The 26,480-nt window shown below is 34.5% G+C and overlaps 1 protein-coding gene across 4 annotated transcripts in view; it reads right to left on the reverse strand.

The window, feature by feature from the left end:
• Positions 1-26,480, reverse strand: part of LRP1B (LDL receptor related protein 1B) — a 1,899,594-nt gene that overhangs the window by 127,779 nt on the left and 1,745,335 nt on the right. For all 4 annotated transcript variants that reach the window (NM_018557.3, XM_017004341.2, XM_017004342.1 and 1 more), the window contains 5 exons: positions 18,979-19,085; positions 13,807-13,936; positions 11,978-12,084; positions 11,509-11,641; positions 5,460-5,582 (listed from right to left, as the gene is read on the reverse strand). In NM_018557.3, coding sequence (NP_061027.2) covers positions 5,460-5,582; positions 11,509-11,641; positions 11,978-12,084; positions 13,807-13,936; positions 18,979-19,085 — 600 coding nt within the window. The remainder of the gene's footprint in view (positions 1-5,459; positions 5,583-11,508; positions 11,642-11,977; positions 12,085-13,806; positions 13,937-18,978; positions 19,086-26,480) is intronic.

Consider the following 26,480-nt stretch of genomic DNA (forward strand, 5'->3'; position numbering starts at 1 on the left):
TGCCTTATCTTAGCTGACTTCACTTAGTGTAACAAATTAATTTATGCCTACAATTATGCAATATGGCAGGACACTTAGCTATCTCAAAGAGCAATTTCACACAGCATAGAGCCGGAGCAAGCATATGTTACAGGCCCAAAATTGAAAATAGGTCATTCAGTGAAAACAAACAAAAATCCCAACAATATTCTAACTTGATTTCTTACTCTTTGTCTCTGTAAACAAAAGTTTAGATATGTATTTGAGGCACATATATGATCTTAGTTATTCATCTTTAAAGTACATGTTTTTGTGTGTATTTAAAAAGACCACAATGAAAGCCAGGGAATTTTACATTTGTCTCCTTATCACTATCTAATCTGAAGACTTCCACTCTTAAAGCAGGAAGTATCTGTCATTAGTCTTCATCCTTAGATGTGAAGTTACCCAGGATTCTGTCCTTGTTCCCCTGATGTTCTCACTCTTGAATTATTTGCTTAGTTATGTTTATTCACTCTCATTGATTTACTACATCCTGAAGACTTTCAATTCTCTATCTAGTTCAAACATCTCAGTTGGTTGTAGGACATCCCCTCAATAGTTTCAAATTTAACAAGCTCATCACTCAGCTCTTTATCATCTCGTCTTACCCCTTGTTCTCAAACACGTTTTATTTCCATCATTCAGTTAGTGGCATATCATAGCCAAAAGTCTGGAATTATTCTAATGTATTCCTCTCATTGACCATCAATTCTCAGTAGTCACCAAGTCCTGTTGCTATTGTCCCCAGGTTTGGCATCTTCTAGCCATCTCACCAGTTACAATCAAAATAGTTTAGCTGTTTATGATCTTTTACAGAGAGATATCCTAAATGTCTCCAGCTTCATATTCCATCCTCAGATCCTCAAAAAGCCATGAGAAAAATCAGTTTAACATATTCATGTAACCATTTATTCTACATTTATCAATTTCCTTGAGAATACAATTTAAGATATTTTGAATGGCCTAATAGACTTGTCACTATCTTGCTCGTGCCAATCCTGCAGACTCATCCCTTGTCCCTCTCAATATTTGAGCAATATTGCTTTATTACAGCTTCTTAAATATGTTACACTCCATCCCTGACCTCCTTGCTTTAAGTGAAATTTGGTCCATTTTCCAAATATACTCCCTCCTCTTTAGGTCTTTTAGGAATGTCTCTTAATTTGCTCAAACCTTATGTCACCTCACGTTTGAAAACATCCTCATTTCCTACTACAGCTTCCATAGCTTTATCCTATCTTTACTTTCTATTTTCTAAAATAAACTAAAACAAAATAATGTTATTTTGAAGGCTAGATATTTGATTATATCTTCACGCTGCTGCTATTTTCTAATTAACTTCAAAATCACCACCTCCGCCCCAGTTTACTGAAGACTAGCACATTCCAGCATAGTCTTTTAAGATCTCCATTTAAATTCATTCCAGCAACTCAGATGACTTCAATATTCACATGAGGAAACCAACCAGTGAGGCTTCTTAGCTCCTTAAGTTTCTTATACCCTATGTCCTTTTACTCTAATCTTACGTAAGCCACCACTCTCCTAGGACGTTGTTTACATTGGTGAATTTCAACAAATTTCTATTTTTGATTCACAGTGGCAGTTTCTGTTGCTTGCTGTTAAGAATGCTAACTTATAGAAACAGTTGCAGCATAAATTTGCTGTTTCCTATAATTTACTTCATTTGTAAAACCACTACTAGAATGTCCTATTTTGAGCACAATCTCTTTAATGATTTTTAATCCAATCACTATCATTGCAACAACTCTTCAGCTTTATCTTAATTCTAGCTCATCGATGTAACTACCTTTTCCCTATTCACCAATGATTTTGTCTGTACTTTTCTCCCCATTAATATTTATAGTAACCTATAATATGTTGGATACTGCTCTAAGTACTAGGTAAGTTTAGAAACCCACTTTCTTCCCAATAACCTGGATTCTCTGGCCCTTTTCTCTTTTTCATCTCAGTTATCCAAAATAACCCTAAATTTAGGTGAGCGAAACCACCTGCTCTCCCAATATCTGCATCTGGGAAGCCAGAAATGTTGCAGATGATCATACTACAAGGCCAACTGATACCACCAAGTATGAATATTTATCAATGCTACTTGGAAAGCATATATATATATATATATATATATATATATATATATATAACAAAAATAAGTAGAAATACAAAGATGGGAAATTTCTTAAGATATTATTAAATAATTACAGATCTACCTGTATCTACATGTAGTCTGTCAACTCATTTCTATATTTTAAGAGCAGAGACAGAAGAATAGTTGTTTCCTATGTAAAAGTAATCATTTTTCTGGAACTCATTTTCCCATGCCTCTGCAGAAACCATCACATCTTTGCTGAAACATGTTATTACTTTGGTGTCTCTGGTGCCTCACTCTTCTTTTTTGCAGTGCCTTCTGTGGTCACTTACCTGAGTCTCTTCTGCCAGCTCATCTTCACTTAGGGGCTTGTTGTCACTCAATATTCTTTGATAATCCCCTTCCTGACCTATCTTTATTTCCACACAGCGTAATCTTGAATATTCCATTGTATTTAATACCACATTTTATGCTGGTTGTTGAATTTATATCTGTAGACTACCTCTTTCCTTTCAATGTGAGATTCAAGCATCTAATGCCTACTTGAAATCTCTACTCGAATGTCTCCTCAAATGCATCACAGTCCAGTCTTCTAATCTTTACTTGCAAAACTGTTCCCTTTCCTGTGACCCTTTCCATTCAAATGGGAAAGCAAAAACAACATACACATTATACCCCACAACTTGCTGTCTCTCATTCACCATATCCAATCCGTCATTTAATCCAATTTATTCTGCCTTTTATATCATCTTCAAATCTGTCTATATTGTGCTAGCACAGGCTGTTGTCATCTCAACCCAAGCTACTAACATAGCTTGCCTAAAGTGCCGCCATGGTGTTAACCACTATTAATCCTTTCTATCCCATATTTGTAAACTTTAAATATGACCATGGACCTCCTCTGCTTAAAACTCCTTAGTATTTCCAATTACTTTCCAGCTAAAATTTAGAATCCCCAAGGTTGCAGGTATCTCTGCTGTCTCTAGTTTCATCCTAAGCAAATACAGATGATCTCCAATTTAACAATAGTTCAATTTAAGGTTTTCTGACTTTATGACAGTGTGAAAGCAATACATGTTCTCCTCTACTTACTATGGGATTATGTCCTGATATATCCTTTATATGTTGAAAATATTTTTAAGTCAAACACACACTGTCAATTTACATTATTTCCTGTTTACAATAGGTTTATCTGGCTACAATCTGGTAAATCCAGGAGTGCCTGTAGCTACCTGGCTCTGTGCCCTCTGGGAACATGGATCCTTCAGTTCCTTGAGTAAGCCATGGTTTGCTCTGCCCAGAGCTTTCACAAATCTTATTTCCTTTGTCCGCAATTTTGTATCACACTTTCACTCCCAACCTCAAGCCTTTTCATCTATTCAGCAGCTAAATATTTCCCAGGCCTGAACTAAAATGTTATTTCTCATACTCTATGATTGATAAAGTCTTTCTGTTCCATACTTTTACAAATTACTATACTTTATAGTATGTATCACAGTTTGTAAGTATATATTTTTGTGCACATTAATATCCATCTTCCACTAGATTCTAAGCTCTGTGAGGTGAGGGTTCGTGTTCACTTCTTTCATCATTATATCACCAAAATAATCATGGTCTCTTGCTGAACAAATGTCTATTGAATGAATGAATGAATGAATGACACCTTTTCTCATGCTATTCACTTTGCTTAAGATGTCTTTTAGTCTAGCTCCTTCAACACTGTAGCTTTCTGAATTGTTCTTTAGGTAGAGTTCATTGAATCTCTCTGTGCCTTTTCCATACTTTTAATTAATTCTATCATTGCTGGAAATAGAGTGTATGAAAATTATTTTTATTTGTCCAGCCAGAATAAGATCTCCTTGTCAAAAAGAACCCTTTTGTTGTCCTAATTAGCACAATTTCTGGCACATAATAGCTTGACTCAATGTTGATATTGCTCACTGAGAGAAACGCAAAAATGTTCAGACAGTCAATCTGGATTTTACAAGGTTTCCCATCTGTGCTGTGTGGAATGCTCCTGAGAATCAGTTCATGGCCCTGGAAGCAGCTCTAGGAGAATATGACTCTGCAGCTGTACATCAATTATTGAAAATTTCCTATTCCACTCACTGGTTTTGTGGTCAAGTGGAATAGAGAATAGAAAAAAAATCACATAATTGATAAAAATAATAGCTTCTGGATTGATGTTGGTAGATAAGCTCTCATATTGTTAAATATTTTATGATTCAGAAACAATCTAATCCCTGGTGATTACCCAGAGTTTATTTCTAAGATTATGTAAAGAAAACTGAAGCTGAAACTTAGTTGCATTACTCATCATAATGAGTTGTATCTATAGAAAAAAACTCTCCAAAACCTGTTTTTTTTCAACTTTTAAGTACTTAACAAAATAAAGCTGCCTGCATTTTTGTATTTTTCCCTGCACTTTTGTATTTCAGTAGTGAAATGTCACCATCTATATCTAAATATTGCCTTAACTTGATGCAACAAACAGAACAAAAAGTGTAAGTACGTACACTCATGCTGTATTTTCTTTATTTACCTGGTGTGCCACTGAGTTATATCTGATGTGGCAGCATTTTCCTTTAAAGTATAGGCGAAACTGCATTTCTTGCAGAGATTAGATAAAAAGTATGATAACAGGGACCAAAAATGTTCATTAAAATAGATCCTTTATGTTGCTGATCTAAAATTAGACTTTTATATTTGTTGGTCTCATAAGCATACACCGGACAAATGTCAGTCAATTTGGAGAAACTTGAATTTGGAGAAACAATAACTTTTGTTAAGACTTTTTAAGTTTAAATGTTAAATAACTCCTAATTTCAGTTCTGTGTTTAGGACTTGTAATGATATAGACAGATATGTGGATAGATAGATATACAGATAGATGATTGATAGATACAGAGATATTTCATTAGTGGGTGGCTTGTGAAACTATGAGATTTTATTATTTATATATTTTTAATTTGCTTATCTGTATCCCTCCAAAATTAACCTAAACTCCAATTTGATGTGAAGCCAAAATTATTATATGAATCTTATTCAATTAAAATGTCAATTACTCTAAACCCACCCAAAGAGACCATAATCTCTCTTCTGAATAGTGTTGACATGTGCAAGTTCAGATTTAGGATGAGTCTCTATAAAGTCATAACTTCGGAACCGGATTATCCCTTTATTACCTGAACAAAAGCTGTATCTGTGGTTATACTTTATCTACCTAACCCCAGGATGGTATAATTGGTAGTTCACCTCCCCACTTCATTGATTCATGCTGGTGCCTGAGATCAGAAGATAAAAGTATAATCTAGAGCCACGTGAAATGCCATACCACACATATCAGGGGCTTCATCAGAGTTGTCTCCACAGTCGTCCTCTCCATCACACACCCAGAAATGTAGTTTGCAGAGAGAATTATTGCAAAGGAACTCATCAGCTCTACATATATTTCCTCCTTTATTTTAAAACAAAAAGAAACAAAGAGATTCAGAGTAATCAGTGCCAGTCAGCAGGATCCATATTCTTCTGAATCTTAGCAAACAGTATCTAGTTGACTGCTTCCATATATGTATTATATTTATTTCAAGCATAATACCAGGAACAAGTAATATTCAATTTTTTTTAATAACATGTATTCATTGTTGACATTTCAAAACATTCTAATATTACTCTCATATATGTCTATTTTTTAGAAAATACTGATGTTAGAAGAAAGTTTTTAAGAATCTAAGTTATACTCTGCTTCACATAATTTTTATGTTACTGAATACACAGAAATTTATATTTTTTAGTTTTAATTGTAATTATTTAAAATTTGTGTCTTTCTTGGGGAAAAGACATTTTTAGAATTATTAGACAATTTAGCTGTATCTGAAATACTGATAAACTAGATCACTAAAAACTTAGAATAGCCAGTAAAAATTTTTTTGCAAACACAAAGAAACGATTTTTTAATAGCAGTAAGAATTTGGCCATATCATACCATATTTCAGGGTTCTTTTTAAATAAAAGTTGTGCAGTAAAGCATTATTTTTTGGATTGTTAAAATGTTTGCATTTTTCTCTTTTAACAAATAAATAAAAACATCAGGAATACAAAAATATTCTCATATAAAATTCTTAAGTACATCTGCCACACGCAAAGGACCTAAGTAATGAATAAATTTGGGTTATATGTCTAGAGATGTAGCAATATACAGTGGAGGCTATAATGACTTGAGAGTTAGGAACTGTGGGTCCCAGTCTTGCTTTGGATAACTCTATTAATATCTCTGGGACTCAATGTTTTTATATGTTATAAAAGAGGTACAGTTAAAGTGATGTATAGCGTCACAGGTGCAAGAAGTACCTGGGGAAACAACATAGATATCACAGTATAGAATTAAGATAAATTAGATTGCTCCCAAAGGGTTACACTACCTAGTTAATCCTCATGTATACGTAAGAGATACAATTCATGGGTTGTCTAGATTTGACTTACTGAAGGTATTAACATATTTAAACACACATACATTTACCAAAATATGAGGCAGAGCAGTGACAGTGGTCATCCTTAAAAGCCTAGAAAATGCCTAGAAAGAGCCATTGTTCCTTTTGCAGATGTACTTTGGAAGGAATAATGTGCCCGAACTTGTGAAGATCAAATAACTCTTCTTGCTGTGAGTTCTGACTTGTTACACAAATCTCTGATAATTCACATCCAGTAGCAAAAGTTTTAATTTAAGAAGTGATAGAATCAGTTGGATTGTAGAAAGAAAACTCTAGCTCTGGTGTGGAGAATTCAGAAATGAAGAGAGAGACAGTAAAGACAACACTGGAGGAAAAAGACATATTTCAAGAGAGGTCATGGCAATCCAGAGAAGAACTGATGGTAACCTGATCTAGAGAAGCCACAGCTGAGAGCTCTTCAGAAGGAAAACTCCTCAGGACCTGATGGCTAAATAGATGAGAGTGGCAAAGGAGAGTGAGCACATAAACATCGTACTCATTTTTTAGTGTGTGTGGACCATTTGGTAGATGGTATTGTTCATTAAATAAAGGAACACTGCAGGAGGAGCAGGCTTAAGACATAATTCATTTGAGGTACCGGTCCATGTGGTGATGTCGAGCAAGCTGGTGGATAAATATGTCTGAAATATAGGATAGGTTTTTGAGCTGTAAATGTGCATCTGGCAGTGATCAGAATATAGTTATGATTTGAAGTTTAAAAGAGAACACAGAGAAAAACAGATTGGGTAGGTAAAGACGAGTCTACAAAAGAGACTGAGAAAAAGTAATCAAAATGGTTACAGAAATATCTGGAAAGAGTGATGCCAGACAATACATGGGAAAAGTGTTCTAATGAGAGGGATAGCACATGTAACTAATGCTAAGCAGGTTTAGTGAAATGGTGGTTGGTTTAATGAAATGATTGTCATTGGCTATTGAATGAGAAGAAGAAGGAGGTGAATGCCAACGTATCTTTCCAGAAGTTTGGCCATAAAGGGAAGAAAGAGACCAGAAAGTGAGCCTTGTTGCTTGTGTGAGGAAGAACAGATCCCTGAACACATTTAAATGCTTCTGATAATAATTCAGTAGATAAGACACATTTGAGGGTACAGGAGAGCAAAAGAGTAATTAATGTAATGAGTTTCTGGAGGATCCAGGGAGTGTGAGAGATTTGAGATCGGAGCAAAATGAATGGAATAGGCTTAGACTGGAAGTGAAACAAATCTTCTGTTTTGGGAGGAAGGAAGGAGGAAAGCCTGAGGACAGCTACAGGCAGATTTGCTAGTTTGGTGGCCAGATGTTGAAAAATGCTCATGATTGTTATTATTTCTTTAAAGAAGAAGGTGAAGTTATTAATTAAGAGAGGCAGCTTGGTAACAGATTTGAGAGAGTTGCCTTTTTAAAAACCTGGTATGATTAATGGCAGAAACATGATTAGGAAAACAAGGGCAAACTGCTTAGTATCTTAAGTAAAAGTTAAAGCTTAGACCAAGAATTTGTAGTGATATTGATCTGAATAATAGTACAATTGTCTGCAAAAATGCTTAGCAGAACTGGTACAGCTTACATTGCCATCTCTGAGAACCACCAAACTAAGAAACAGACAAAGGCAAGAGCTGGGTGAATCCACCAAAGTGAATATCACCATGTGAGACTCCGACAATTGAACATCTGTCATTGGGATACTCCTTTCTCTCAAACTTCTGCAATGCTGAGCTCCATACTGCTGTATTTACAATTAATCTCAATTATGAAATCCTGTGCAATAAAATTCAGTACTATTTAACAACTGTCTCACTCTGAAAACAATAAAAAAGATAGCATATGCAGTATGCAGTCCTTAGTACTAAAGAAATTAAAGAGATGAGTATCAGTATGAAGTGAGTATATTGCCTTAACTCAAAATCAAATGCCTAGAATATGAAGCAGAGTTTCAGCATAAAGATTCTAATGACTAAATCTCATCGCATGCTCCATTTTACAATGGATTACATTCAAACAAAATTTGTGAACGTTTGACATTCTCTGATTATTTTAGAAAACTCTATTTGTATCATATACATCAGTCTTGTTAAAAAATGAGTTCCCTAAGGTATTGCATTAGATAACATTATAATTTTCTCCACATGAGTGTTGGATATGCCACTGATTTATTTAAAAGAAGAGAACTATAAATGAAATCATATTGTAAGAGAAAGGCAAAGGTTTTGTGATAACCTACTAAAGACTTGATGTTGTACTCCAAAAAATTTGCACTAAAAAAATGCATCATGGGGCTACTGTGACATCTTGAGACTCACTTAAAATTCCTTATTTTGAAATGGCATAAAGCACATATAAACAACAAAAAAGGTATAATTTAAAGAGATTGGCTGAATTAAAATTCCAGTTTCCTGGTCATGTTCTTAATCAGCTCAACAGAAAATATTAGGAAAATAGAAAAGTATATATGAATTAACAATAATACATCTAAATTATAACAGAGACCTTGGAAAGTTCATATAAATCTGGTCAAGTGCATCATCACAGAAAATAAGCATCTAGAGTTCTCATCTTAATTGGGTTGAGAGAAGCTTTAATGCATGATAATACTTTATAATTTATTTGACTAACACATTGTTGAGCTGATAATTACTCAAAAGAGAACCCCCCAATCTTTTCCACCAGTATTATATAAAGTGTAAAGTTTGAAAGCTCAGGCCAAAACAAGCACCACACTTCCTTGAGGTCATATATTTTACCTTCAAAAATGCAAATGCTGCTTTTAATTCCAGAGTATTTTGAATTTTTGTCTTTTAAAGTAAACCAGTAAAACTGATTAATTGGGAAACTGTGTCACGCTTATCCTTCAGCTCTCTTATATTCCAGTTCCCAACACTCAGCTCCTATAAGCTCATGTATCCTGATTGGAAATGAATAGAAATGAGATTTAATAGAAAAGATATTTATTCTGGCATCCCATTTCCTCAATGCCTTAAAATGCCTTTACCCAATACCTACGCCACTTCCTGGGAGTAAATTAAATACTAGAAATCTAAAGTGGTAATGCCTTAAGGTACATTCATATGGGATCAAATAATGTAACCACTAAAATATGTCATTGGAGCTTAATTACCCAGCAGCAAAGAAAACCAAGTTAGAGGTGTGAATGGAGGGGAAAGGGGCTTTGAAACATTTGGAAATGATTGAATTAAAGGCTCTCAACTCTTTTTCAGTCATTAAGATTAAATATTTAGTAGAATAATTTTAGATCTGAAAGGTACTTGAGATTTTCTAGTTTGGCTAGGATACAAATCATAAAGAGGTGCAGTGGAAAGTAAGTCTGGGAGGATAAAATGGGGTCATTTTCTCATAACTGATTACTAGATTGAATTGTTTGTATGTAATCAGGTACCTTGAGTAAAAACTGACATAATCGGAAGGACACTTACATAAGATGAACCTTGTAACAGTAAATAGGATGTATTGGAGACCAGTTAGGTGGCATCATGCCAGCCCAAGCAAGAAGCAATGGGAGAATGAACTAGGCGGGTGGTAGTGATTGAAGCTGAGCAATAGAGGTGATTCGCTAGAATATGGAAAACAAGGAGTAGCTTAATTGTCATCCCCAAACCTTTGAACGCAAAAGTCGCATGAGTTATTGCTGCCAGACTTTCCACAATGTTTGCTGTCTCTAGAGTGACCAATTACAGAAAGTGAGTGTGAGAACTTAGCCTAAGGTAGAAAGAGCCGTTATAGACATTTAACATTTCATGGGTCTCTATTATAAATGGCAAATTCAAAAGGAAACTGAAGGCCTACTTTGGGTGCACTGTCTATGAGTTAACCCTGCTCTGCAAGGAGCTGTAAAAAAAAAAAACTATTTTTTTCTGCATAATACAGCACTTTATCAGGTTTGGGATGGAGATATTATCTAATCATAAACATCTGAAATAATATTAAAGAAAGTAAAATACTGTTTTTCTTAGGTGACTACATATTTACAAAAGTAACATTTTAGACAGGTTTAAAATACATAAACCTAGAGTGCACATTCAAGTGCCTTAAATCATGTGGCAATATCTAGCACCATCTCTATGGATGATCTTCCAAATACCAAGAAGTGTAAAATCTATTGAGAGACTTTGTAAGTAGGTCACAAGATATCTTGTATTTAAAAAATATATCTAACAAAATGAAACTAGCAAACATGGATTAATTTGTGATCATTTTAAGCTTCAGCACACAATTGCTTTGCGAAATAACTCTAAAGAAGTAACAATTGCTACGTTTAATATGGTGGTTTAAAACTAAAATGTTGTTATCTGTCAGAAAATAATCTTCGCACAGCTAGGAAATAATATATGACAAAAAGGAAAGTTGTCTTTTAGACTGACAAAAAAATGTAGGTTATTTTCTCAGTGATACGGCAATAAGGAAATTTAGGGATTTGGGGCACAACCTATAACCTATATATCATACAGCATATGAATGTAAGCAATTGAGTATGCCATATGTTGTTCCTATGCTTTCAGAGTAAGGCAAGCAATGTGAAAGGAAAGGATATACAGAAAATTCAAGATATACTTTTGTAGTCATGGTTTCATTGGCTACTTTCTCTGTATTCTCCACATATCCCTATACTTGACCCGGCATCTAGTCTGAAATGGTAGACACTCAGTAAACACTTGCCCTGTGTTCGTGTTTGTCATGCCCAGATTGGGATTATACTCTGTCTGACAATGATCTGGATTTTGCATATTTAGACCAGGCTGCTATGTAATGAAACTTGGAAGAGTAAAGAGAATTATTTAAAGATTCTATCCTCTGCCTCTAGCATACACTGTATATTCTGCACAGAACCTTAACTTTCATTCTCTCATTTACAGGCACACACACACAAAAATACCTTACCTCTTTCACAGTTCTCTTCATCACTGCCATCCACACAGTCATGAATTCCATCACACAGCCATCTAATTGGAATACAGTGGGCTTTATTTTTGCACCGAAACTGATCTTCCTTACATTCAGTCACACAGTCCATCTGTTCAAATACAAATGGACACTGCAGTTTTCATTAATGATAATGATACAATCATGGGCAAAATAAACATGCAGCTTGTAATACTAGAGCTTTATTATACCATGGGCTTTCTTTCATTTTGTCTTAATGAATATAACTTCTACAAATGAGAATGAGCTTTAGTATATGGACAGCATGAAAATTCAGGTATTTGCTGAAATGATTGCATTCAATGTACATATCTAACATGTTAAACCATGCTAAGAATCAAGATTCTTTCTCTTTATTTTCATTACATTTGTTTGCCCAAACCTAATTCATGTAATTCAAATATTTTAATTAAACAATATATTTTACCTCATCTGAACCATCAGCACAATCATATTCTCCATTACATTTCAAAGATGCTGAAATACATCCATCACTGGCACATATATATTCACGTGATGAGCAAGTAGGAGAAGCTGAATACAATTATAAATTTGAAATTGAGATAGAGTAAAAATAACAGGTTTTAGAAATAAAAACATAAACACATAAATATATGAATTTATAGATGGTAATAAAAATAGTTTATACTATATAACGACATTTAATGACTGGTATTACAGATTCATTTAAATTATTTAAATAATTTTAGAATTAGTTATAATATTATTGCATTATATTAAATATACTTCATGATGCAATAACCTGTGCAGTAAGAATTTAACTCAATAGTCCATAGAAGGAAAAAAAAACAAACAAACCTTGATATCCTTCATCCCTTTGATTTTGAAGTGTTACATGAGTTTTTTTTTTTACAATTTTAAATTAAATCATTTTAAATTATTGAAGTCTCCAAATACTTTCAAAACTGTAATAATATTTAGCAACCTTTGAGTATGTTAATTCTTACATTCACTGTATAAAGCACAAAGTCAAAATCTTGGCATGGTCTCACAGACCCAATAATATCTATTTGGTTGCATTGACATAAATAAAGTATTTGAATAAGTTCTAAGAATTGTATTGTTTTGGGATTTTAAATATGAATACATGTGTAATTAACAGAGTTAACAGAATGTGCAGTATTCCTTTATGATGCCGAAATTAAGAATAACAAGCAGCTAAATGTTATTTACAAGTGTAATATTTGCAAGTTTATAATATTTATAAGTGTATCAGTCACAAGATGTAAATACTACCCAGTCTAATTAATTGACAGAAATTATGATAGCTGCCTTTTTCTATGAGCTTGAGTTGGCTAGGCTTGCATTCAAATGTCTGGGCTTCTGGCCTTATGTTAGACCACTGTGTAGTCTCTCATACTTACTTAATGACTTTGTAGTCTGAATTCCTTAGCTCAGGGATACTAAAAAGCTTTTTCCTTGAGTTCAACTCCTTTTAATTGGCAGTGTTTGTCTAGGGATCTGTATTCATAAGGAGTCTAATAACATGTCTGTATTCAGTAAGAAGGAAATCTGTGATCAATTAACAATATAGCCCATGGACATGGTACTGGGGCATAGTAATGTGTGAGCCTTGTACTTGTGATTCTGACCTAGTCTCTCAAGGTAATGGTTTTATGGTCATACATACATTATAGTACAGTTTTCCACCAGTAATATTTTTCTGTAAGATAATGTAATTAAAATATATAATTAAAAAATGAAGTGTTTTAATGAGTATATTTGTAGAGACACCTAGCACATAAATTGAGTAGTGTATCTTTTTTCTGGCTTTGCTTTCTAACTTTACTCAAATTTTGGCCCAAGATGTAAATACAAACAACACAATTATGCTGCTTCTTAGCTAGCATCACATTGAAATGATTACATTCTATTTCATAATCACCATTTCCATAACTAAAACCTATCTTTTACTGTACTTTTAATTTCAACAGATTTTACTTTCCTATCTTGGGGAAACAGTTCCAAATGGTATAATAAGATATAGAAACCAGAAAATCAAATTTGGGGAAATTATGCTTGGATTCCATTCATAAGTAATGATCTTATTTTCCAAAACACTTTCAAAACATATGAAGCACACACTAATTAATTTATCCACAGATTTGCAGACCCTTTCTTAAAAATGGTAAACATATGACATATTTGCCACTGTTTTCTGCATATTGCTGCTTAAATTTAAATTCTATCAAGGTAAAATGTTAACTAAATGATATATTACTTCAATCCTTTTACCTGGCTCACAGCTTTTCTCATCTTCCCCATATTTGCAGTCTTCATGGCCATCACATTTCCATTTTGCTGGTATACACTGACCATTGGAACACCGGAACTGATCTTTGGAACAACTTGTCTCACAATTTCTCTATGAAAAACAACAGAGATATAATCAAAATTAAAATTTTAGAAACACTTCTACACACTCAAAAGACAAGAAAACTTATGTACAGAAAACCTGGAACTGATCCTGGAACAACTTGTTTCACAACTTCTCTGTCAAAAACAACATAGATGTAATTAAAATTGCGTTTTTAGAAAAATGTTTACAAACCGAAAGACTAGACAACTTATGCATAGAAACCCAGAAGTGTAAGAACCATGTCTGCTATATAAAAGTGGCTCAGATGCTAATATTTTAAGCCCATGAATATACAACAGAATTATAACAATTTTCTACTTTCATTTGTCCCTGTGAGTCATAATAAAACAAAAAACGGATAAAAAAAAATTTTATGGCTTCATCATACTAATTAAGTTACTCTGAGAGTATCATTATTCAGTAGATAGTTATAGGGTAATGGAATTTTAATAATTTTAGGTAATAATGAAGATTATGAGATAATAAAAGAGTTAAAGAATTATTTCTACCTGGCGCAATAGCCCCAGCCACTCAAGAGGCTGAGGCAGGAGGACTGCTTGAGTCCAGGACTTTGAGGATGTAGTGCGCGATGATGGGCACACATGAATACCACTGCACTCGAGTCTAGGCAACATAGTGACATCCTGTCTCTAAACAATTTTTTTCAAAAATTATTTCTAAGCAACTACATCCAGTTTATTGGCTATAGGGAGAAGAAGGCTAAGGATATGGAATGTGAAACAAACAAAAATCCTAAGACAAATCTGTTTTGCATGGGCAAAGCTTCCCCTGGTGTTCTTTCTTTCTCCTCTCTCCATCTCTTTTCCTTTGCACCAATCCTTTTACAGTTTAGTTGTTGCAGTTCTCCTTCTCCTCTTTTCTGACATTGTTCCCTAAAGAGCTGTGAAATGAACTGTCAAAATTTTCATTTCTGCTAGTCCATATACAGATTTTATGTGGAAGTCAAACAAGATGGCAAATTTACCTTTGAGGATCTGTATAGGAGATAAATGAAATGGAGTCACTAGAAATCACCTTCCCTGGGTCTGAACACTCTGGTTGAAGTGGAATACTCTAATGAAGTGTCTCACTGGGATGATGTTTTCTGTTGTTAGGGAATTTCTATTTTTGCCAAAATGTACTTGTCTGCTTCTTCCACAAAAAGTGTAACAATCTCATGGTTTGTGGAACTCCTAGCAAGTAAAGCACGTTGAACTACTACTTGCTGCTTCTTCCCAGGTTCATCCCCATATAAGGAAAAAGAGTTCACTTTCTAAATTCCTGAAATTTTCTCTTTGTGATAACAGTTTAAGTAGAAATGGAACTACTTAAGAAAAGGCTTTTTATGTGTAAGGATAATCGGAAATGTGGGATATCTGGAGGAAGCTACATAATAGCAAATGATGTGAAAGACATTAGAGAATGTCATAAGAAAGAGATGTCATATGTTTTATTCACCGCTGTATTCTCCATACTATTAGTGCCGGGGACATAGTAAACATTCAGTACAAACTGCTGAGTGAATTAATAAATTAATAAACTAGCAAATATAGAAAACAAATGTAAATTAACATCTCATATAACTTTATCCCAGCTCTACTGGGATAAAGATCATGCCTGTCTGTGAACCAAGTATCTAATACTGTCACATGATTATAATAACTATCCAGTAAACATTTTTAGGAGCGATGAATGATTATCTCTGCAAGTGGGCTCATTTAAGTAAAGCAGCTCAATGACCAATGGTACTGTTGTGTCATTTAGCCATATAAAATATTGTTTGGTAAAGTAAGGACTCAAAAGAGATCTATACCTTGAATTAAAGTTTCTTTAATGTATAACTATTTCTCGTTCTTCAGTTTTTTTAAATGCCATTTACTACTTGAAGAAAACAAGTCAGTTATACTATAGAATAGCTCACATTCTGAATTTGACTAATTGCACCCTAAGAATGTTGATACCTTTGCAACCTCCAAAGTGATTAATGAGCTTTTGCTTTTTAAAGTATTGTTGTGAACTCATTGATTTTTATACTGTGTGTATGTGTGTGTGTGTGTGTGTGTGTGTGTGTGTGTGTTTTAATCCCTTACAGTCGTTTTTCTTTCTAATGCACAAATTGTCCCTTTTGTCAGTGGAAGTTCCTTTAAGTAAGTTTGTTGTTGTGCACTTTGTACACTCTCTTAATAATCTCAGATGTTAGCAGCTCATCTTGTCAATTTATTTTCTCACACTTAAAATTAGGCATCTCTCAAAGGAGTGTTTCCTTTAATTGGAAAATGGTATTTAGAGACCACTTGGTGAATTTCAGGACAGTCATTACCATTGGTTTATAATTGGTTCTAGGACTTTTCACTGGCAGATGTAGAAATCATATATTTTTAGAAAGAGAAAGATTAATCAAGATCTTATACTGATACTTTTGGATTTAATAAGAGAGGATTTTACTTAACTTTTTGTTTCTACATTTATATCTCCTTTCTCTGAAATTTTGATTCTAATGACATTGACATAAATAAGCATTTGAACCACCCTACATGTTTCAAATTAGCAGAGCCAATATTATTATTAACAATGTCTATGGATGCAGTTTAAGATTTCTTTGTTTTTTTGTTCTTACAACATATTACGCTAAATGTAGAGCAAAAATATTATAATTTAAAATCACTTTAAGTAATCATTTTCTGTGTGTGCCACAGAGATAAATACTTGCTATACAATTAGATTGAACCATATTTTTAAACTTCTTCTTTGTTGTTTTGTTATTAACAAGCTAATCATATTATCAGTTCCATTCATACAGAAACTTATCTTCACAATTCTCCCAATTTTTATTCTTAATGTGAGAGTATTCTGTGTGTAATTCTGCTTTCTAGCCACTTGTTCAGTTTTTTTTTGTTCTAGACTGTAAAAAAAAAAGTAGAAATCAACTACCAATAGTGTTAGCTACTTACATATAGACTGCACTAAACATCTATAAATGTAGAGAAAAATGACTTTACTACAATTAATTTCATTTCTTCTGAGCCTTATCATGAAAATGTCTGGATATATGGAGATATATTTAGCCATCAAATCACTATGTCCACCAACTTATGGGATGAGATACATGGTAATAAGGATATCTACTTTCACATGAATAAGATTTTAAAGAAGTAGTAGTATTTGATTTCGCATATGCACTTTGCATATCTTGTGAATATGATTCAAGATAAATATATAAGCCTTAACCAATACATCCCCACCTCTTGATGTTTTACATATTACCCAGATTGGTTCAACGTATTAAATAAACAAAACCAAAGCCAAGATATTTTCATGGATGAGTTTAATTAAAATGTGTTTTTCTGCCTTAGAAAAGTTTAATGTAATTTTCAAATTTATGAATGCTAGGTAAATATGTGGCTGGTAAATGAGTGTAAAAAATGTAACTCTCCTTTGTGTTTAAAAAAAAAAATGTTTTGACTTTTATTTTGTGAAGAGCTCCATGACTAGAAGCAGTGTATTTTTCAACTTTTTCTCTTGAGCGACCTTTGCATCCTTGAGACTTAGGTTTTGCTAGCCCTCAGGCGAGAAATTACATGTGTTTGTTTTCAAAATCCAGGCTGTTGAATGTGGTTATTGTGACTTTTTCAAAATGGTCAGAGAAGGGAGAATTGTCCAGTCCTACAGGGAATGCCTCAGGGCTGGAAGAGACCTAGTTTGCATGAATTCTGTAAATACCAGAGACCTGTAGTATCTCCCACAGAGGCATGAAATCAGTGGATGCCTAGGGAATTGGGAACAAACACAGAAACCTCCAGAGCTGCAGCGAAAATCCTCTGGCCAAGTCTATGGTCAGCGGGCGGGCATTCATGAGAGGTGAGTACATATGCTTCTCAACCAGAGCAGCGGAGCTTTAGGGAATCATTGCAATACAGGAGCCATGGTATACACTGAGGAACAGGATCTTTTTTTGTTGTTGTTGAGGTGGAGTCTCGCTCTGTCGCCATGCTGGAGTGCAGTGGCACGATCTCAGCTCACTGCAATTTCTGGCTCCCAGGTTCAAGCGATTCCCCTCCCTCAGCCTCCCAAGTAGCTGGGACTATAGGCGTGCACCATCATGCCTGGCTAATTATTTTGTATTTTAGAAGAGACAGGGTTTCACCATGTTGGCCAGGATGGTCTTGTCCTCCTGACCTCGTGATCCACCCGCCTCGGCCTCCCAAAGTGCTAGGATTACAGGCGTAAGCCACCATGCCCGGCTAGAGCTCTTTTTTCCTTCACTTCTGACTGGACTTGATTGCGCAAACCTTGTGTTTCTGATATTATCCATGTGAAATCACTGATACTGGGATATGAGAGCTTGGGGTCCTTTTAGATTTGATTGAGAAAAATATATATAATCATGTGTTGTTTATTATTTTTAAAGCATCATGGAGTAATTAATATCTGAAACATAAGGACATAAATGCATAAATAACAAATTGTATGAAGTATTATAAATGTTAGCACAAACTAAGTTTATAGAATTATCCAGAGGATTTGTAAACTTTTTCACTTAAAGCTGTGTGTACATAGGCCTTATTATAAATGGATTGTGATTCATCACCGAAGCAAAGCTCAACCTGTGGTTTCATAAAAATTGATGACCCACATCGATGTCTGTAAGACTATATCTATTGAAGAAAGAGACTGGGGAGAAGAAACTGTTTAAAATGCATAAAAATATTAGTCCTGACTATAAATACTGCAGCAAATTTATGAACTAATTCACAGATGGCAGGGGCATCAGCTATAGGGAATAGGGTTTCCAAACATCCTATTCCTACAACGCAGCTATTCACCAGTTGAGGTAAAACAGACTATAAAATTAACTGTCAATAGCAGCACAAGAGCTATTCCCTGTGCTGGGGATGTGAAGCACAGCACATGGATATAATACTTATCTCAATGTGTCAGGAGCAAAGTATTTCTGAGCTGTCCTTGCCGCACTTATTGGACTGAATAATAATAATTACAAATGTGGTTCTAAAGCGCTGCTTTCTTTTTGATTTTACAAAGATGCCTACCTCATCAGAGCCATCTGCACAGTCAAAATCTCCATCACACCAAAACCTTGAAGAAACACAGTCCCCATTGGCACAGAGGAAATCTTTCAATGTACATGTCTGTGGCTCTGGGGATAAAAAAACAGCACAGGGTTATTCTATTATATGTAAGTGCATTGTAAAATTTATATGACATATGACATGAGGTAGCATTAAAGAAAAAAAAAGAGGTTAGTCAGACAGAACCAATATATTGTTTAGGAAAAATCTCATGAAGCATCTATGGTACATAATATAATAATTTTTCCAATTTATTTTTAAAGTCATAAGTACAAAATGGCATTACAAAAACAAGTTGGAACGTAGGACAAAAGATAAATGGTCTACTGTTTAATAAAAATAAGCCTGAAAATGTACCTATTGTCATACTGTAACAATGATCTTTTTTAGTTGCTGGAGTTCTATGTCATTTTATGTATTTACTTTAAGTAAGTATGACATTTTGTGACTCTCTGTACCCATTGGACTGTTTATTATTAACTGGGCAGTGAGTCTAGCCTTTGTATTTGACTTTATATTATGTATTCTAAAAACATTCTAATTATTCAATTTTGTCCCCAGAAAATCTGGAGTTCCTGGAACAAGAACAGTATATAGGGATAATATTACACAAAGCTAGTTTGTAAGATTCATCTTTAAAAACTGCACATTTGTTTATGCCATTGTTTATTGTGCCCTATATCACTTGCCTGTCAATTTAGATAATTTAGCAGTTATTGATTTAATTATGGTGTCCCATAGTCCACATAGGGCATAAGCCACATAGTAATGACTTACTACTTGGCTTAATTCCTATTGGAATATGTTTCATCTGGAAAATGAAGTAGGATTTCAGAAATTCGTTCATGCAAGTAATCAATATGACTGCTGGATATCATCTCTTGTTTTGTTTTTATTCTCTAAACAGGACTGATATCTTACATGATGAAAGACCTCTTCGTGTTTTCTCTGTTCATTCCTTGTGTTTGCAGCTGTATCACACATAATAATATTCTTACTGGGTCAAGAAGCAATAACTAACAGACATTAAGGAATATCCATATGATGCCTGATTTTCTGCACAAAGATTGTGAGTAAATCAGTCTGCATCTGGATTTTGCTCTACACAATCCCTTGGTTTCTACATATAGAGTAACATCTTGATGGTTTGGTATCATGAGGGTTCCTACATTCCTATATAAAGAAACCCTTTCAGGGCAAGGCACGGTGGCTCACGCCTGTAATCTCAGCACTTGGGAGGCCGAGGCGGGCAGATCAGTTGAGGTCAGGAGTTCAAGTCCAGCTTGGTCAACATGGCAAAAACCCGTCTCTACTAAAAATACAAAAATTAGCCTGCCTTGGTGGCAGGCGCCTGTAATCCCAGCTACTTGGGAGGCTGAGGTGGGATAATTACTTGAATCTGGGAGACAGAGGCTGCAGTGAGCTGAGATCATGCCACTGCATTCCAGCCTGGGCGACAAAGCAAGACTGTGCTTCGGAAAAGAAAAAAAGAAAAGAAACCCTTCAGAACATTGGATGGGAAGAACTATAGAAAAAGTAATGTGTGTCAGCAAGCATTTCGTTCTACTCTGCTACTTAGTTTAGTTTAAAACAAGACCTTCACGGTATAAGACAAGGTGCCATTTGATAGAATGGGAAAATGCCCTTAAGTGGATAATCTTCTCATGTTCCTACACTCCTTTGTTTAGTAAATGTGACAATAGAAATTTCCCTTTTTGTTTATATAAGGTATTCACATAGATTATGCTTTAATCTTAAAAATAACAATTAATACTAATATTTATTATAACTAATAATAATTACCATCTACCGATTGCTTATTTGTTGTCAGGTACTAGGTAAAGTTAATGAAAAGTACTTGAATTAACTCACCAGTGAATTTTTGTAACAACTCTCTAAGGAACGTGCTATACTTGTACCCTGTTTAAGATGCGTAAATTGAGGCACAGAGATAAGTAACGTACTTCAAATCACAGAGCGTACAGAAGAGCTATTAATTGAACTTGAATCAAGACAACCAGATACCAGGGCCTGTACTTTTTCCTAGTAGGCTGTATCATTGCTTCCCATACAATTGAGGAAAAAATAAGTGTCCACATATTACAGAGATTAACATTAAAGCCCTGGGAAGCCAAGTTACTTATCTAAAGCACATGGCTAGCAATATCTATTTTATTAATAATAACAAGAAGAAACTCATTTGCTGTTATCACCATTCCATACTGAAGCCATTTCGCCCTCCTGGTTGCAGACACATGCAGTTTTATTCTTAGAGGAAAGAAATTATAGTGAAATATGTTCAATTTATTTAACAATGGAAAATAACAGCCCAAAATTTTTTCATGAAAAGAATAAAGAAAGAGTAAATTTAAAACATGTCGTGCTTACATGTTTAAAAACAGCAGAAGAAACATCTAATTTCATAGAATTGGGAGTTGTAGAATGGGACTAATTCTTCCTCTAATGTTCTAATTTGCCTTTATCCTATTTAAAAGTAAGTGTGCTCATGATGTGCTACACAGCAAAGGCTTCACAGGCCTTGACACACTTTGCTATACAAAGGGTTGAAAGTTGTTGATGTAGGTTAAAAAAAGTTATCAAGCCAGTAGTTGAAAGCATTTGCCCAAGAGTTCCACAGAATGCTCATTTTCTAGAGACTTTGTCCTAACATTATTAATTATTCTGCTTCAAAATGGCAGTAGAGAGGCTGAGAGATTTGCTGGGAAAAGCTTTTCCAGGGAAAGTGGAAATTCTGCATGTTTCTATCACGTTTTTAAAAATGCCAGCAAATCTACTTCTGAATAATAATCATGAATTATTTATACATGTACAAATACCATCAAGGAATAGGGTACCAAGTCTATTTCTAACCATCATTCATATACCTCAGAATCTTTTGCCACTAGATAGCTCAAAAAGAAACTCTCTCTTCAGGAAAATGTAATTTAGTTACCACGGAAAGCCCTAAGGAATTTTTCCTTATTGCTTATCTTAACTTTGATCTTATTTGGATAAAATAAAAGACCAATTTTCAGACTTTATCATGATACTATTTTTCTTGTGAAAGAGAACAATAACAAAAACAACATGACTGTAGTAAAAGCTAACCCATCTGAAAAAAAAGTTGAATGTGACATTCTCCCCCGTATTTCCAAAATGCTATATTCATGCTAATTTTCTCTGATATTGCCTATATCCCTGGACCAAGAGTAGATGGGGAACTCTACACGGGAACAATTAACCAGGTTTTCCATAAACCTCATCTAGACAAGCCAGATTGGCAACCAAGAAGCTTTTGCAGGGTATGTTTTCCATGTTTCAGAAGGCTAATTGGGATTCTTCAATAAGAATAAAATATAAAGGGCTGAGTGTGGTGGCTCATGCCTGTAATCCCAACATTTTGGGAGGTTGAGGTGGGCAGATAACCTGAGGTCAGGAGTTCGAGACCAGTCTGGCCAACATGGTGAAAACCCCCTGCACAAAAAATACAAAAATTAGCTGGGCACTGTTGTGCGCACCTGTAATCCCAGCTACTTGGGGGGCTGAGGCAGGAGAATCACTTGCACCCAAGAGACGGAGGTTGCAGTGAGTCAAGATTGCGCCACTACACTCCAGCCTGGGCAACAAAGTGAGGCTCCCTTTCAAAAAAAAAAAAAAAAAAAAAAAAAGAGGAGAAAAGAACAAAATACAGGGGCATCATGTAGACTGATCATTTCTTTCAATACTGATGGAGGTAAAAACATACAACCACAGAACTGAAAAGAGCTTTGGAAGTCAACTTACACAAAACTGTAGAAAATTATGTTCAGGAAATAAAAGTGGCTTTCAAAACCATAGAGTTAATGGCAGAGCAGAAAGACTTTTGGACTTCAGTTTCTCTACTATCTTAAAAACTCTTAGTGATAAGTTCAAAAGTTATATGAATGTCGATGTTAGCATTTGACAAGAATTTTTAGAATACAATTAGTATAACTTATACTCTATACAAATAATCTTCTGATAGAAATTCAGTGTGAAAGTACTAGAAATTCAAATAAGGCAGAAGCAGCTTGTCTCTCTATGTAAACCTTAATTTTTAATCACTTGTTATTTTAAAATCCATTGGATTTTTAGTTACTTCTTAATAATGTAAGGCTATAAAGTAATTTATTTCATAAATCAGTAACTTAGATGGCATATATGACATATTTTATTTTTTGTTGATAAAGATATTATAGATATGTTGAGATTTCTCAATTATTTCCAAACCTCTGATCCGGATTACAAAATAACTCCAATGACAATGAGATTTTCTTGTTTTGAAGAGCAGAAATAATTGTTGAAGCAAAGTGTCCCTGCTGAACACTTAATGAGGGAAATGATAAGCAGAGGATAATAAAATGACAATGAACTAATTATCCTATGTATATATAAAAATATAGAAAGCATATTAAATTTAAAACGTAGTTGGCAGTTAATTGCCCCACTACTATTTGAACTCTTCCCATATCTATCACTGGACTATCTCCAACACAATTTAAAAAGTAAATGCATGAAATCAGATTCATAAACAAAGAAGTCCAAAAGTGACTTTAAATTATGTTGCTGTTATTTTTCAACTACAGTTATGTGTTACATAATAACATTTCCAACAACATACAGTGGTGGTGCCATAAATTATAATATTTTTACTGTACTTTTTAAATGTTGATAGGCAAATACATACCATGGTGTTACAATTCCCTACAGTATTCAGTACAGTAACATGCTGTATAGGTTTTTAGCCTACGAGCAATTAGCTGAACCATATAGTTTAGGTGTGTAGTAGTCTGTACCATCTATGTTTGTGTAAGTACACTTGATGTCGTTCACACAATGACAAAATTGCCTAGCGACAAATTTCTCAAAATGTATCCCCACTGTTAAGCAACACATGATGATATAGGTTGATTTATATGTCTGTGATATGTTTCACTACTTAATAATAGCTAACAATAACTGCCAAATGTAAATCAAAGTTCATAACATTGATCAATAATATTTAGAAAATAGGACAACATATACCACAGCCCTAATGTATTAGGACAGTGATGTGCGTGTGTGTGTGTGTGTGTGTGTGTGTGTGTTTACAATTATTTTCATAGATAACAATTGCAAATATCTTGATAGATTTTAGTACAGCAATAGTATTTTTTTTCTAAAGCTTGTTTCTATATGACTAATATTTTGGTGCTCCCCAAAGATATAATTGAATTCTTTTCTCGTTCTTTATTGACTAAATTTCTGCCTGTGTAGAACGACTGGCATTGTCAATGTTGAAACCTTCCCATTTCTTCTGGCCTATTCAAAATAGTATCTTCAAGCCCTATTCAATTATCTAGATCCCTGGATCCATCCTCTTACATGTTCAAAACATGTTAATATACTTTGATATTTGCCCTAACATACTCTGACATTCCTCTTACATGTGTAAAATGTAAACGTACTCTTATACTTGTCCCATATATGCCTACTAGTCTTCCATATTACAATTGTAAAATACTTCATTCTTGTTCGCTGTCATCTCTCCTCTGCAACTTCATCAATATTACTTGTCTTAGTCGACAAGCTCAGAGTGAACAGAAACTAAAAGAGAACCACACATAATTGGGTATTTTATACTGGAATGCTTGATTTTGCAAGCACTTCCCCTGCTTTTTCTTAAGGGCACTGTGGCTACAGTGATTTATCACTGAGTTTCCACAGTGACAAGTGAGAGTCAATGTTCTTTCTCCTTGCTTTCTTGTGCCAAAGGCTGACTTTTAGATGTCAGTACAATGATATTCAGCCGCTTAGAAAACCGCAGCAGACTCAGAAGCAGGCGAGCCCTTCCTTCTTCTCCTGCTTTTCCTATTATAGCAGTAGGCTAACTTCTCACATAGATTCAACCACACCATGAATAAAAGTTCTCCAAGACATGTCTACAGAGTTGGCCTCTCATCCACCTTCTTCTGCTTTCAACATCCTTCCGTTATAAGGCATTTGCTCTCAGTTACCTCATAGATGATTAACACCAAATATATCAAAAGAAAAGCTAAGTAGATATTTGTGCACTTAAGTTCTGTTTCATAAATAAGCAGAAAGTATATGCATAATTGTGGGATTTTTTATATTTATGCTTCTATCCCTACCAGCTCCACCCCGTCAGAATTTTATTTTAATCATTAAGTGGATCAGAGAACTTCCATATACAGTTTTTAAAAACTGGTGATTAAAGAAATCTAAAACTCTATTGACTCTCTGCAATGCTCTTTATCTTTCTAAAGACTGTGACCTGTTAGAAGATATGTATGTAAAGAGGGAGTTATAAAAGTTTCTATATTCAGGGTATTCTGTAATCACAATAATCCAGAGATTTCATGCTTAATATACTTCATTCCCAAAGACAGGTCTGATTAAGTTTTGAAAGTTATCCAAAACATTAGTTGGTATTTTGCAAGCCAAATATCCAAGTGGTTTATTAAGGCTTTCACTCTACTAATTATATGCTTTAATATAACATATTCCTATGTAGATTTAGTCTTCTGCGTCTGGGGAAATGAATGCTCTTAGTCCAATGAGATGTCTGCAAGAATAGTCATTATCGTTACTAATCTGCTTCAAGTCTTCTTGGAAGTACCAGATATAAATATTTAATAAATGGAATTTGATTATTATCTTATTTTAAACATGCTTGTATAGCTTTCTTTGTTTAAATGACAGTGTATAAAAGTGCCAATAAGAAATATATTCAGGCCGAGTGTGGCAGCTCACGCCTGTCATCCCCACACTTTGGGAGGCCAGGGTTTATTGCGTGGGCCCAAAAGTTAGAGATCAGCCTGCGCAACATGGCAAGATCCCATCTCTACAACTAATAAAGAAAACTAGCCAGGTGTGGTGGCATGCTTCCGTAGTCCCAGCTGGAAGGTTGAGGTGGGAGGATCACCTGATCCTGGGAGATCAAGGCGGCAGTGAGTCATGATCATGCCACTGCTCTCCAGCCTGAGCAACAGGGTGAGACCCTCTCTCAAAAAATACATATATATATTCTGAAATAAATGCTACAATCAGGAGATACTGTCACAATTTTATATAACTGCCATACTCTTCAGAAAGTAAAATTTGGGGAGAATTATTATTTTTAAATTTATTATATAAAATGGAGAAGACAGATGATAACAATAGTGTTATTCTATTTTCAGAGAAATGCATCCTGAATATATAAGGTGTTGACTACTGTAGAGAGAATAAGTGATATTTCACTGAAATATGCTCATGGGCGAATTTATAGTGTAAAAGGATTTGAGACTGAAATGAAATGAATACTATTTGTTAAAGAATGAGATGTTTTGTAGTGACTCCACATCATTCAGCTCATTGTGTGAACTTGCATCAAGGGTTTCCTTCATTGCATACTAATGGGTTGCATTAAACCTCATGATACTTTCATACCAGTTGTGAGAACT

Source organism: Homo sapiens, chromosome 2 (genome assembly GCF_000001405.40).
Source record: "Homo sapiens chromosome 2, GRCh38.p14 Primary Assembly".
In the NCBI taxonomy this organism is placed as follows: Eukaryota; Metazoa; Chordata; class Mammalia; order Primates; family Hominidae; genus Homo; species Homo sapiens.